Genomic DNA, 14,104 nt, shown 5'->3' on the forward strand with positions numbered 1-14,104 from the left:
ATTCCTCAAGTAGCTTAGAAGAGACTCATTAATGAGCTCAAGAATCAGGCAATCCACTGCTCTCGAAAGCCTCTACTGGTTTCCTACTGCTCATCTATGGGACAAGGATCTCCTGGCTTCCCATGACCTCTCCTTCACAACACCTGCAAAGCACTTTGTCATCTGCCCCAATCTCCTCTTGTTTAGTGTCTCCTCTGTGCCCCATGGAGAACACAATGCATTTGTCTACATTTTTCTTCTTGGAAGTGGTAATTTTTTTGCTTTCTCTGCTACTGAGCCTGTTACTGACAGTGGTCTTGGGGTTATAAAATCTCAGATTAGTGTTGCCAGCAGTCTGAATGTTGTGACTGTGATTGGGCAGGGTGATTATTTCAGTGGCAATTTTGTCACAAATAAGGAAATACACAGGGTATACAGGTCTTATTTGTAGTTGATGCAATTAACTTACACAAGTTTATTTACTCTCTCTCTCGAATAGTGTGGAAAATCCTGCAAACAAAAGAAGGAGTACCCTCATCACAGTGCTTAATATATCGGAAATTGAAAGTAGATTTTATAAACATCCATTTACCTGTTTTGCCAAGAATACACATGGTATAGATGCAGCATATATCCAGTTAATATATCCAGGTAAACAACAAACTAATTGAAATGCAGTTTTGTTTTACTGTAGTAAGATTCCATGACTTTGAAGTTTGAAATGCCATTTCCTCTGCTTAGAACACGCTTCACTTCCTCATTACTTGGGTAACTTCTATTTCTCTTTTACTCTTCTGCTGAACTCTCTCTTCTTGGAAGCTTTTCTGTCCTGCTGCCTGCCCTTAACCCAGCTCTCGGCCCAAAGAGAGGAGGTTAGGGCCTCTGTATGTACTTCTGTAGCACCATATGTCACAGGATCTATGGTACTTCGTTTTCTGTACTTAACTATAAATTCTGTGATGGTGGCAACCATTTATCTTAGTAATCATTCTATTTCCACAGCTAATGGCAAGTTAGGTCTGGTACATTGTGGGTACCCAATGAACTACATTGATGATGCATAGGGTAAGACTAAATATCCACTTTCAAAGAGGACATCAGAAGTCACTGGGTTTCATGAATTGGTATAATAAAACATAATATTGAAAGTATTTGTGAAACATTTTAAGGTAATTTGTGGTTTAATTAAACATAGGCTATTATAATTGCGTGCATGGAAGAATATCTGAAAGACTCTATAAATTAACTTCTATGTATGTTTAAATACTGGCAGCATACAAATAGAAATTACATTTAAAAGATAACATTTATGGTAGCATCAAAAATCATCAAATACTTAAGAATAAATCTAGCAAAAGCTGTTCAAAACCTCTGTAATACAAACTAAAAAATATTGAGATAAATTAGAGAAGAACTAAATGGAAGGATATACAATGTTCATAGATTGAAAGACTCGATATTATGAAGATATCAGTTCTTCCCCAAATGAATCTATGGATTCCAAAAAATTTCAATCAAAATCTCAGCAGTATTTGTACAAGTGAGAGTCAGTGTTTGTATGGGTGTGTTTTTGTGGACACCTGTAAAAGTCATAGGGAACTGTAAAGGACCAAGTATAGTCATGGTGGTCTTAAATAAGAAAAATAAATCTGGAGGATTATTACTACAGACATCATGATCTTGTATGAAGCGACAGTACTTAAGACCGTAAGTGTGAACTATCATTTGGGCCAGCTGGATATTTGTCTGGAAAATGGTATAACTTGATTTCTGTTTTATATCCAAATCATTTAAATTGGAAAAGTAAATAAAGCTTTTAGATTCCCTTTTCTGGATGCTTTTACATGGTTCCTGATATTTAGAGGGTACTTTCTTTTTCTTCCCTCTTTCTTCTTCTCTAGCCCCCTCCCCATCACCTACTCCATCTGCTCCCCAGCTTCCTCTTTAATTATTGGATAACTAAGTAGAGAAGGAGGCCAGGAGAATGTGGAAATGTGAAACTTCCCTAAGCCTCCACCTTATTCGCTTTCCACCAGTCTTTAACTTTACCCAATGGACTCTCTGACCTCAGGGAACTTTTGTAGGCTTTTGAGTGATTTTAACTTTTCCCTGTTTTACTGTGGAATGCTCTATCCTGTGGTCTTCGGTATTATTTCCCATGTTATTGTATATTATGCTATTTAGGTAGAAACTTCATAGAATGCACCTTAGTTTTATCATTGCTTTGTACATTAGTATCCATTACAAAGTGATAATAATGAATGAGTTAATATTGTCTGAATGCAGGCCATTCCCAGATATGGGCTCTCTGAGACGAAGATATTTAATTTGCTGTGCTCAAAGTTTTAATTCTTTTTGGTTCTAATATTTTTTCTCCTTTTTTTTTCTTTTTGCTATAGTCACTAATTTCCAGAAGCACATGATTGGTATATGTGTCACGTTGACAGTCATAATTGTGTGTTCTGTTTTCATCTATAAAATCTTCAAGATTGACATTGTGCTTTGGTACAGGGATTCCTGCTATGATTTTCTCCCAATAAAAGGTATAATTTTGTATTCCATGCAGTATTTCTTGTTGGAGATAAGGGATAGTTAGGAGATGTAGAAGATGACTAAGAGGGTTTTTACTAAGAGGGTTTCTAAAATGAAAAGTGGCATATACAAGAATACTAGTTATTCTTACACAGAATTATAGTTTTAGAACTCATTAGGCTGAATATCATTGTTTTCTAAGTTCCTGCCTCAACATTCATATTGGTAGAATAAACAGGTATTTAGAGCATCTGTTTATAAATTCAGTTATGCACAAGCCATTGGTAGGCCTTGCTCTGTGATGAATAGGACAGACAGAGATCATACCTTAATGAAAGAAATGAAATGACTAGATCTTCATGCATCAGGGAGGTTCTCTCTCTCCTTTGTTTAAACTTTGCGAAAAAAAAAAAAGGAATACCACAATATCTAAAAAAAAATGAATGGATAGAATTCAGGGCTGAGACCTCTGGGGAAGAAGATGAGGACAGGGAGACTTTAAGGATGGCTCTATACTAAGAGTATACGAGGCAGCCTCCAAATAGAAGAACAAATTTGCAGTAAAACACAAGAAATAGAAACCTTGTAAGAGATGAACACTTTTTAAAGGGATTATATTTTTGGTATTGCTGCTTCAGTCATGCCATTGTATAAAAAAAGATGAATAGTTCATTATGTAATGAATGTTTGTGATACTGACTTTATCAAATCTCTTATTTTTGCCTTGTGGTTCTAAATACATTATGTTTTTCCTTTAGCTTCAGATGGAAAGACCTATGACGCATATATACTGTATCCAAAGACTGTTGGGGAAGGGTCTACCTCTGACTGTGATATTTTTGTGTTTAAAGTCTTGCCTGAGGTCTTGGAAAAACAGTGTGGATATAAGCTGTTCATTTATGGAAGGGATGACTACGTTGGGGAAGGTATGTGTGTAATGGAACAGAGTAAAGGCTTATTGTTGTAAAACTACTTAGTAAAATGTGGATTCCATCTTTCTAGAAGATCGTGGCATAGGGGTATATGTTTCACAATTTTAAGAACCTCTTCAGAAGTGTATGATGATTTTTACATTTATTAAATGCATTTACTTCTCTCATATTTTGTCAGAGCAATAATTAAGTGATTTTCATTTAGTTTTGAAAAACTTAATGACTAGTTAAACCCAACAGTTGCTTTACAACTGATACAATTAAACAGGAGTGGTAGAGATCAAATGATTGAATAATAAGTTTTTAAAATTCCAACAAAGTTTTCTGAGTTCTAAATGAAATATTTGTCTTTTGAGGGCCAATTTTTGAGTTAGTCTATAAAATGGGAGGTTTGCAGTGGCTCATGCCTTTTATCTCAGTACAACCCTGGGAGGCCAGGGTGAGAGGGTCACTTGAGCCTAGGAGTTTGAGGCTGCAGTGATCCAAGATCACGCCACTGCGCTCCAGTGTGAGCAACAGAACAAGAGACTGTCTCTTAAAATTAATTAATTAAAAACATGGGAAACTCCTTTAATTTTAAGTAAGACAAGAAAAAGGCATTAGGAGCCATACGGTTGTGAAAAGCCTTGTGTGGCTTTGGTTCAGGAGAGAATGATGATAAATAGAATTTTACTTACTATATTGTGCTTCCTGTTTTTCAGACATTGTTGAGGTCATTAATGAAAACGTAAAGAAAAGCAGAAGACTGATTATCATTTTAGTCAGAGAAACATCAGGCTTCAGCTGGCTGGGTGGTTCATCTGAAGAGCAAATAGCCATGTATAATGCTCTTGTTCAGGATGGAATTAAAGTTGTCCTGCTTGAGCTGGAGAAAATCCAAGACTATGAGAAAATGCCAGAATCGATTAAATTCATTAAGCAGAAACATGGGGCTATCCGCTGGTCAGGGGACTTTACACAGGGACCACAGTCTGCAAAGACAAGGTTCTGGAAGAATGTCAGGTACCACATGCCAGTCCAGCGACGGTCACCTTCATCTAAACACCAGTTACTGTCACCAGCCACTAAGGAGAAACTGCAAAGAGAGGCTCACGTGCCTCTCGGGTAGCATGGAGAAGTTGCCAAGAGTTCTTTAGGTGCCTCCTGTCTTATGGCGTTGCAGGCCAGGTTATGCCTCATGCTGACTTGCAGAGTTCATGGAATGTAACTATATCATCCTTTATCCCTGAGGTCACCTGGAATCAGATTATTAAGGGAATAAGCCATGACGTCAATAGCAGCCCAGGGCACTTCAGAGTAGAGGGCTTGGGAAGATCTTTTAAAAAGGCAGTAGGCCCGGTGTGGTGGCTCACGCCTATAATCCCAGCACTTTGGGAGGCTGAAGTGGGTGGATCACCAGAGGTCAGGAGTTCGAGACCAGCCCAGCCAACATGGCAAAACCCCATCTCTACTAAAAATACAAAAATGAGCTAGGCATGGTGGCACACGCCTGTAATCCCAGCTACACCTGAGGCTGAGGCAGGAGAATTGCTTGAACCGGGGAGACGGAGGTTGCAGTGAGCCGAGTTTGGGCCACTGCACTCTAGCCTGGCAACAGAGCAAGACTCCGTCTCAAAAAAAGGGCAATAAATGCCCTCTCTGAATGTTTGAACTGCCAAGAAAAGGCATGGAGACAGCGAACTAGAAGAAAGGGCAAGAAGGAAATAGCCACCGTCTACAGATGGCTTAGTTAAGTCATCCACAGCCCAAGGGCGGGGCTATGCCTTGTCTGGGGACCCTGTAGAGTCACTGACCCTGGAGCGGCTCTCCTGAGAGGTGCTGCAGGCAAAGTGAGACTGACACCTCACTGAGGAAGGGAGACATATTCTTGGAGAACTTTCCATCTGCTTGTATTTTCCATACACATCCCCAGCCAGAAGTTAGTGTCCGAAGACCGAATTTTATTTTACAGAGCTTGAAAACTCACTTCAATGAACAAAGGGATTCTCCAGGATTCCAAAGTTTTGAAGTCATCTTAGCTTTCCACAGGAGGGAGAGAACTTAAAAAAGCAACAGTAGCAGGGAATTGATCCACTTCTTAATGCTTTCCTCCCTGGCATGACCATCCTGTCCTTTGTTATTATCCTGCATTTTACGTCTTTGGAGGAACAGCTCCCTAGTGGCTTCCTCCGTCTGCAATGTCCCTTGCACAGCCCACACATGAACCATCCTTCCCATGATGCCGCTCTTCTGTCATCCCGCTCCTGCTGAAACACCTCCCAGGGGCTCCACCTGTTCAGGAGCTGAAGCCCATGCTTTCCCACCAGCATGTCACTCCCAGACCACCTCCCTGCCCTGTCCTCCAGCTTCCCCTCGCTGTCCTGCTGTGTGAATTCCCAGGTTGGCCTGGTGGCCATGTCGCCTGCCCCCAGCACTCCTCTGTCTCTGCTCTTGCCTGCACCCTTCCTCCTCCTTTGCCTAGGAGGCCTTCTCGCATTTTCTCTAGCTGATCAGAATTTTACCAAAATTCAGAACATCCTCCAATTCCACAGTCTCTGGGAGACTTTCCCTAAGAGGCGACTTCCTCTCCAGCCTTCTCTCTCTGGTCAGGCCCACTGCAGAGATGGTGGTGAGCACATCTGGGAGGCTGGTCTCCCTCCAGCTGGAATTGCTGCTCTCTGAGGGAGAGGCTGTGGTGGCTGTCTCTGTCCCTCACTGCCTTCCAGGAGCAATTTGCACATGTAACATAGATTTATGTAATGCTTTATGTTTAAAAACATTCCCCAATTATCTTATTTAATTTTTGCAATTATTCTAATTTTATATATAGAGAAAGTGACCTATTTTTTAAAAAAATCACACTCTAAGTTCTATTGAACCTAGGACTTGAGCCTCCATTTCTGGCTTCTAGTCTGGTGTTCTGAGTACTTGATTTCAGGTCAATAACGGTCCCCCCTCACTCCACACTGGCACGTTTGTGAGAAGAAATGACATTTTGCTAGGAAGTGACCGAGTCTAGGAATGCTTTTATTCAAGACACCAAATTCCAAACTTCTAAATGTTGGAATTTTCAAAAATTGTGTTTAGATTTTATGAAAAACTCTTCTACTTTCATCTATTCTTTCCCTAGAGGCAAACATTTCTTAAAATGTTTCATTTTCATTAAAAATGAAAGCCAAATTTATATGCCACCGATTGCAGGACACAAGCACAGTTTTAAGAGTTGTATGAACATGGAGAGGACTTTTGGTTTTTATATTTCTCGTATTTAATATGGGTGAACACCAACTTTTATTTGGAATAATAATTTTCCTCCTAAACAAAAACACATTGAGTTTAAGTCTCTGACTCTTGCCTTTCCACCTGCTTTCTCCTGGGCCCGCTTTGCCTGCTTGAAGGAACAGTGCTGTTCTGGAGCTGCTGTTCCAACAGACAGGGCCTAGCTTTCATTTGACACACAGACTACAGCCAGAAGCCCATGGAGCAGGGATGTCACGTCTTGAAAAGCCTATTAGATGTTTTACAAATTTAATTTTGCAGATTATTTTAGTCTGTCATCCAGAAAATGTGTCAGCATGCATAGTGCTAAGAAAGCAAGCCAATTTGGAAACTTAGGTTAGTGACAAAATTGGCCAGAGAGTGGGGGTGATGATGACCAAGAATTACAAGTAGAATGGCAGCTGGAATTTAAGGAGGGACAAGAATCAATGGATAAGCGTGGGTGGAGGAAGATCCAAACAGAAAAGTGCAAAGTTATTCCCCATCTTCCAAGGGTTGAATTCTGGAGGAAGAAGACACATTCCTAGTTCCCCGTGAACTTCCTTTGACTTATTGTCCCCACTAAAACAAAACAAAAAACTTTTAATGCCTTCCACATTAATTAGATTTTCTTGCAGTTTTTTTATGGCATTTTTTTAAAGATGCCCTAAGTGTTGAAGAAGAGTTTGCAAATGCAACAAAATATTTAATTACCGGTTGTTAAAACTGGTTTAGCACAATTTATATTTTCCCTCTCTTGCCTTTCTTATTTGCAATAAAAGGTATTGAGCCATTTTTTAAATGACATTTTTGATAAATTATGTTTGTACTAGTTGATGAAGGAGTTTTTTTTAACCTGTTTATATAATTTTGCAGCAGAAGCCAAATTTTTTGTATATTAAAGCACCAAATTCATGTACAGCATGCATCACGGATCAATAGACTGTACTTATTTTCCAATAAAATTTTCAAACTTTGTACTGTTATCCTGAGAATCTGTTCTTTGTCCAGTCCACAGCTTACCTGCACATTTGCACATTCCCAGGCCTCAACAAGGTGAGGAGACCTTCTGCAGAGAGTTCTTCCTGTTGTGGGGAAGCAGGTGGGGAGGAGCTGGAGGAGGGGAGGGGAGTGGAGGTCAGAGGCTATTGGCTTAACAGTGAGCCCTAACTCCCATCTTCTAGCTAAACTCTACTCCCTCTGCTCATTTGCTTCTAAAATGGATTAAAATGTGAGCCTTGTCAATAACTGTTTATTAACTTCTTATCAATTTACTATTAACTTATCACTTTACCTGTCCAAAAAATGATAAAGGGAATATTTGTATAGACTTTTACATTTTACAAAGCGCTTTTATTTTTTCCTTTGACCCAGAAGGTGGGCAAAATTGGTGAACTTGCTGTCCAAAATGCATGCTCTAAAGCTTGTTAACTCTGATGGTCAGAGATGACACCCAGTCAGTGCCTCCTTCTTACCTCACAGCAATGCTAAGGGGCAGGTGACTCTCTCAGTACCTGGGGAGAAGGGGCAGGTGGCAGGTTGGCTTAGAGTCTGAGTCCAGTATGAGCACTGCCTCCACCAGCTACCTGGAGTGAAACCTTAGGCAAAGTATTTGAGCCTCAATTTACTCATTATATAGGTATAATATCTAACTCATAGAGTTAAGATTAAAAAGATTAAATATATTATGACAAGCCTAGTGCTTAGCATAAAGCAGGTTCTCAGAAAATGGTTGCTTTGTTAGTAGCAATTCTATGAATTGCTTATCTGAAGCCCTATTAGAATCTGCAAATGGAAGGGGTAGAGAGGACTTATAAATTAGAAATGACAATTGACACTAAGGACAAAGTACACAATGTCAAACTGAAGTTGTATAACCACAGAGGCCAGGAGCCCTGTCCAGCCCACAGCCCCTCCACTGGCCCCCAACCTGAAAGAATGTTTCTCACTGGAAGAGTTCAGGGAGCTTTGCACCACATTTTGGTTATGATACCAGTTAATGTGAAAACCATTAGGAAAATCAGTGCTAACCACCATTTAAAACTCACACGTTTTCCTCTCTTTATCAGATAAATTTTCCCCAGTAAATGCAAAATAGGTTTTTAGGGAGTCTCTGGAATTATTTTACAACAGGAATGCCGTCTGGTGGAAAAAGACCTGGAACTAAATTCCTGCACTGTCACAGCTTTGAAACCACAACAAAGCACCTGGTTGTATGGAACCCCCATTTTCTCATGTGTAAAACAGGACTTCCTATGTTACAAGATGTTTATATGTAGGAAGTCTCTGTCCAGTATACGGGATAGAATCTCAAAATATATTTTCTTAGTTTTATCACTTGATGAGTACAGATAAAACAAAAAACTTACTCATCCAAAATGTATATTTTTCAAATTCTAGGGTTTTAGGTGTGTGCGGGGGTTGGAGAGTGATATAATGCTGGTGTTAACTTTTTAAAATGATCACAGCTGCTACTTAATCCCATTTTAGCAAGTCAGGATCTGGTTTAGCATTTTTAATATAGTACGTTCCCCAAGTAGTAATTGAAGGACTTCTAAGTATAAATACCATGCAATTATAAAATCAGAGATTTCCTCCAGCTTATTTGTCAAAAGAAAATCTTTTCGCCTTTGACGTGAGGCTCTGGGAGTGTGGTGAGGTTGGCTTAGCGTGCAGGGCATAGGGAGCGTAGCAGGTGGGGAAGAATGTGGATTGGGCTGGAAGGGAAAAATTGTTCCTCTGTTACTAAAATAAAATACATGAATGAATCACCATCATGGCAATAATTCATAAAATGGAGTACACATGAAAAAATGTATGTGGGAAGACAGAGGAAAGGGATAATTTTTTGATGTGATAACATTCATTTTACAACCAAAGATTGTGTGTGTGTGTGTGGGGGGGGGCGGGGTGTTTAAATTTTAAGGAGAGGAAGAGTTACAGGAATAGGTGGTACTATTTAAAATGAGTATTAATCATTCAAAACAAAAACATGCTCATCTTACCACATGCCGCTCAGGTTTCTTCTGAAGAAGGCTTGGCTGCTCAAAGTACGTAAATCATACCTATACCTTAAATCTGAGCCCCAAACATTAGCACAGCAGTCTCTCAAAATTTGCAGCTGTTAGACCAGTTGAGCCTGTACCACCTGACTCTAGACTCATAGGAGGCTGTTGACATCTCTAAAGCTGTGTTCAACCAGTTGAGAGATTAATTTACCTACAGGGTGAAGTTGATGAAGCTTGTTTTTCTTAGAACCTTTGACCTGGAAGTGATCCCAAGTGCCATTTGGCTTCTGCTTCCGGGTCTGGGAAGGCTACAATGATACCATTCTACAGTGTTCATTGGTTTTCCTGTCAATCTACACATCCTGAGGATGAGATTCCTTAGGCTTCTTTAGTGAAACGGTATTGCATGTTTCACAGCCTGTGTGGGGACCCACTCCTGCTTTGGTTCATGTAGTTAATCCTTCCCTGGCTAACACTACATTTTCCCTCCACAGCCATGTTACGTCACTTACCCTGCTTAGCCAGGGACAGACTGCAGCTTCTCATTTGCTTTCAAGGCTGTAGACAGCAGCCATCTGTTTCAACAGTTTTTGTCGTCAGATGCTATTCCGTAGTCCTGCCTTCCACACTGTACTTGATTGCTTCTGAATTCTTGTCTTTCCTAAAACTGGACCCATGTCCTCTCTCAAATTCAAAAACACAGGGGAAATATTTGTGTTCTCAAGCGTACTTTTAGATTTTTAAAAAGTGCTAACCAAGTGGTTAACATTATGCTAGACACTGAGAAAATTACAAGGTAAGAAAAAACAGAAATCTAGCCAGAGAAGAAGAGTGTGAAGAGAAAGTTGTTCAGGAAACAATCTCATATGACAGAGGGTCTTAAACCCATGACTGAACTATTTGGACTTTACCACTAGGAGTAGGTATATGGGAGATATTGGAGGCAACAGGTTGGAAGAACTTTCGACATAAAGAAACACATTGATAGGGCACTATTGTACAGCAGATTGGGAGGAGGTAAAAGGTTACATAGGGAGGTTGTTAGGAAGGTGGTAGAGTAATCCCCTTGGGAGTCAATTATATTTAAGACATTTTATAAAATAAATTAGGAGAAACTTCTTTTTATTACGAAAGCAATAATGGTTTGAGAGAATGTGGAAATTTCTAAAACATATAAGGAAGAAAAATGTCACCCATAACTTCACAACCTAAAGATAATTATTGATATTTTATAACATTTCTATGGATATAACTGAGACCATATAATACATGGAGTTTAACACTCTTTTTAAAACTTAGCATAAATATTTGCCCACATTACTATTATACGAAATACAATCTATAAGTAGTCACTAAGTCTATCAAATGGATGGTCCATAATCTGATAGCTTTGCTGCCTTCAGTGGACATCCAGATTATTTCTAGTTTTAGCTATCAGTAGTCAAAGTGCAATAGTTATCCTTTCTCAAATATTTTTACTTCCCTAATCATTTGCTTAGCATATATTCAGAGGGCAAGATTCCTTTTCAGGTTCTTGATGTTCCATAGAGACATTTGCTCCTCTTACACAAGCAGTGTGTGGCACTGAGAATACTCATTATTAAATCATTGCTAATTTGATAGACAAAAAAAGGTTATCCTTTGCCAGTTAACTATTAACATGGTTGAATGTTTCACTTAACAATTACAATTGGAGGCGGGTGGATCACTTGAAGCCAGGAGTTTGAGACCAGCCTGGTCAACATGGTGAAATGAAACCCCATCTCTACCAAAAACACACAAAAAGCAAAAAACAAAAATTACCTGGGCGTGGTGGTGCACGCCTGTAATCCCAGCTACTAAGGAGGCTGAGGCAGCTGAGGCTATTGGCTTCGTCTGTGTTATTTTATTTTGGAATTTACAAACTGTTTCCTCCTTTGTGATTTTGCACTAGCTGTTTCCTACTTTGGGGAAAGCCCTTCTCGCAGACCTCCACATGCTGGACTCCTTGCCTTGACAAGGGCCTCTGCTGCACCATAGTCCCTTCTGAAGGGAGGACTTCCCCAACACCCTCTCCATCACTTCATCATAATTGCTTTCAGGGTTCTCACCAGCCTGAAATCATCCTTCAAAATTTTCTTATTTACTTGACACTAGAATGACTGTAAACTCTAAGAGGGTCTGTCTTCTGTACAGCTGTATTTCTGGCACTCAGAATATCACCTGGAACACAGTGGGAACTGTATAAATATTTGATGAGGGACTGAGCGAACTAATGAATGGAGCTCGAGGGAGTGAGTGATTAAGCCCAGGACTGCAGGAAACCAAGTGCTTTAAGGACCTCCTTCCAGTCTCCCTGGCTGCTTCTTCCATTTCTAGAAGTCCATTTCATCCCAACAATAGCAGTCTGCTACAGAAATGCTGCTATATATTCCCAAGCCTCATAGAGGGGAAATATGAGAACTTAAGGGCCTTAAAGGTATAAAGATCTTGGTGGAGCCCCAAACACCCACCCCAGCCTAATACTGGGTTTTGGAAAGTTTAATTGTTGCGTGTGAATATATTTCTGTTTCATTCTCATTGGGAAACATTATCTGTGGGATATGGCCAATGGGAAATAATCAGATATTTAGTTAGAACAAATAAAAGGTAGTATGCATCATGTAAAATATAAATTTGTATATGAAATCTTTAATCCAAATTGTTGCCCTCCTACCCTTCTGAATAGCCGTCATATCCTAGTCTGAGGGTCAAATAGACTGAAGGTAAAATTCAACCAAGCAGAATTCTGTAATGCTTTCATCACACACAGATTTGTTGCTTTTTGCCTGCTCTCAGAATGAAGTGATGAATCTCTAGAGGAAGTTGATTTACTTCATAAAAAAAAAAACCAACTGAAAATTATTTCCTATGGCCACTGACTAATGCTAGAAAACATTAAGAATATTCCCATTGAAAAAATATCTGCAAGTGGGAGAGAATTAGACAAGGAGGGGTTGGTAGGGGGATGGTGATAAGCATCTATTACATATTATACACCCTGTTATGGAGGCTTTACAACTGCCACCTCTGAAAACTGGGCATAACCTCTCAATCTAAATGTATATAAAATAAAATCACAGGATAGCTTTTACATCAGAGCAGCAAAACTGGCAAAATTTAAAAGTCTGACATTACCAAATATTGGTAAGAACATGAAGCAATGAAATTCTTTTCCTCTAAAGGACATAGCTATGGAAAAAAATTAGGGCTTTTCTAATACAATTGAGGATGTACCTACCCAATGATTCTGCAATTCCGTTCACTAAATGGCCTCTGAAATACTCGCACAAAAGGACATTACCAGAATCTTTGCAGCAGCACCGTTTATAAGAGCAAAATATAAATTTGGAAAAACTTAAATGTTCGAAGGAGATGAATACATTTAAGTTTTTTTTTTTCAAGGTAATTGAGAACCTGCAGTAAATATTATGGTTTCCTGTTATTTTTAATTGCTAAGTTTACAATACCCGGAATCAGTTCTGCCTTCAAAGCCAAGTGTTCATTTTCCACGTATCAGGAAACACATTTGGCATAGAGACCATCCCAGGAAGTTAAATTTCAGATTCTCAGAATTAGTAGCAAAGTGCAATGTCAGAAGTGTCCAGTGAGAGGCACTGCAGGGGACTGGGATGGCCTGTCTTAACTTCATACATTTTGGGGCAACAATACCCATTAAACTTGGCATATATACTAGTCCTCAGGCTAAGAAATAAGATAGGACACAAATGCATCTATTCATAAAGTGAAAATGAAAAAAGATAGCATAAAGATTTAGAAATACCTTTCAACACTGCTCATAGAAATAATTCTGAATGCAAATCATATGACTTTTATAAAAATAGTAACACTTTTGTTTTGTTTTGGATGAGGACATAAACGCTGAAGAATATACATATACAGAGGAACCTCGTTTACTGCTGATAGTAGGGGAAATAAATAATAATCTCTATTTATAGCTTAAGAAAGAGGTCCTCAAAGAGTGGGAGCCCTATGGGTCCCTGAGAGACCCTTCAAAAAGATCTGTGAAATCAAAACTATGTTCATCGTAATATTAAGACCTTATATTCCTTTTTTATTCTCATTCTCTCATTAGTGTATGGTGGACCTTTTCAGAAGCTATATGACATATTATATCATGACACTGATTGCAGAAGCAAGTATGAGAATCCAGTCATCTTCTAGTAAGCCAGACATCAAAGAGATCTGCATCTATGTAGAACAATGCCGCTTTTCTCAATAAGCCTGTTTTAGAAAGTAGAGTTATTTTTCATAAATTGTATGATATTTGCGTTAACATGTAATGGGTTTATTGTCACTTAAATAAGAAAGTAAACGTTTAAAAATTCTCCCTTTAACTTCTAATGTAGTAATATTGACAGGCATAACCTACATAGA

General features: G+C 39.1%; 1 protein-coding gene and 1 long non-coding RNA gene across 23 annotated transcripts in view; one reads left to right on the forward strand and one right to left on the reverse strand.

Annotated features, from left to right (window-relative positions):
* Positions 1-7,666, forward strand: part of IL1R1 (interleukin 1 receptor type 1) — a 109,485-nt gene extending 101,819 nt beyond the window's left edge. For 21 of the 22 annotated variants that reach the window (XM_011511115.3, NM_001320978.2, NM_001320980.2 and 18 more), the window contains 4 exons: positions 479-630; positions 2,379-2,522; positions 3,270-3,437; positions 4,145-7,666. In XM_011511115.3, the coding sequence (XP_011509417.1) occupies positions 479-630; positions 2,379-2,522; positions 3,270-3,437; positions 4,145-4,551 (871 nt within the window). In that variant the 3' untranslated portion in view covers positions 4,552-7,666. The remainder of the gene's footprint in view (positions 1-478; positions 631-2,378; positions 2,523-3,269; positions 3,438-4,144) is intronic. The other variant, NM_001288706.2, reaches the window with a different exon arrangement.
* Positions 413-9,900, reverse strand: IL1R1-AS1 (IL1R1 antisense RNA 1). Its single transcript, NR_174960.1, has 3 exons — positions 9,686-9,900; positions 7,704-7,793; positions 413-489 (listed from the first exon to the last, which is right to left on the reverse strand). It is a non-coding gene; the product is annotated as an IL1R1 antisense RNA 1 (long non-coding RNA).
* Positions 9,901-14,104: the final 4,204 nt, after the last annotated feature.

Source organism: Homo sapiens, chromosome 2 (genome assembly GCF_000001405.40).
Source record: "Homo sapiens chromosome 2, GRCh38.p14 Primary Assembly".
Classification (NCBI taxonomy): Eukaryota; Metazoa; Chordata; class Mammalia; order Primates; family Hominidae; genus Homo; species Homo sapiens.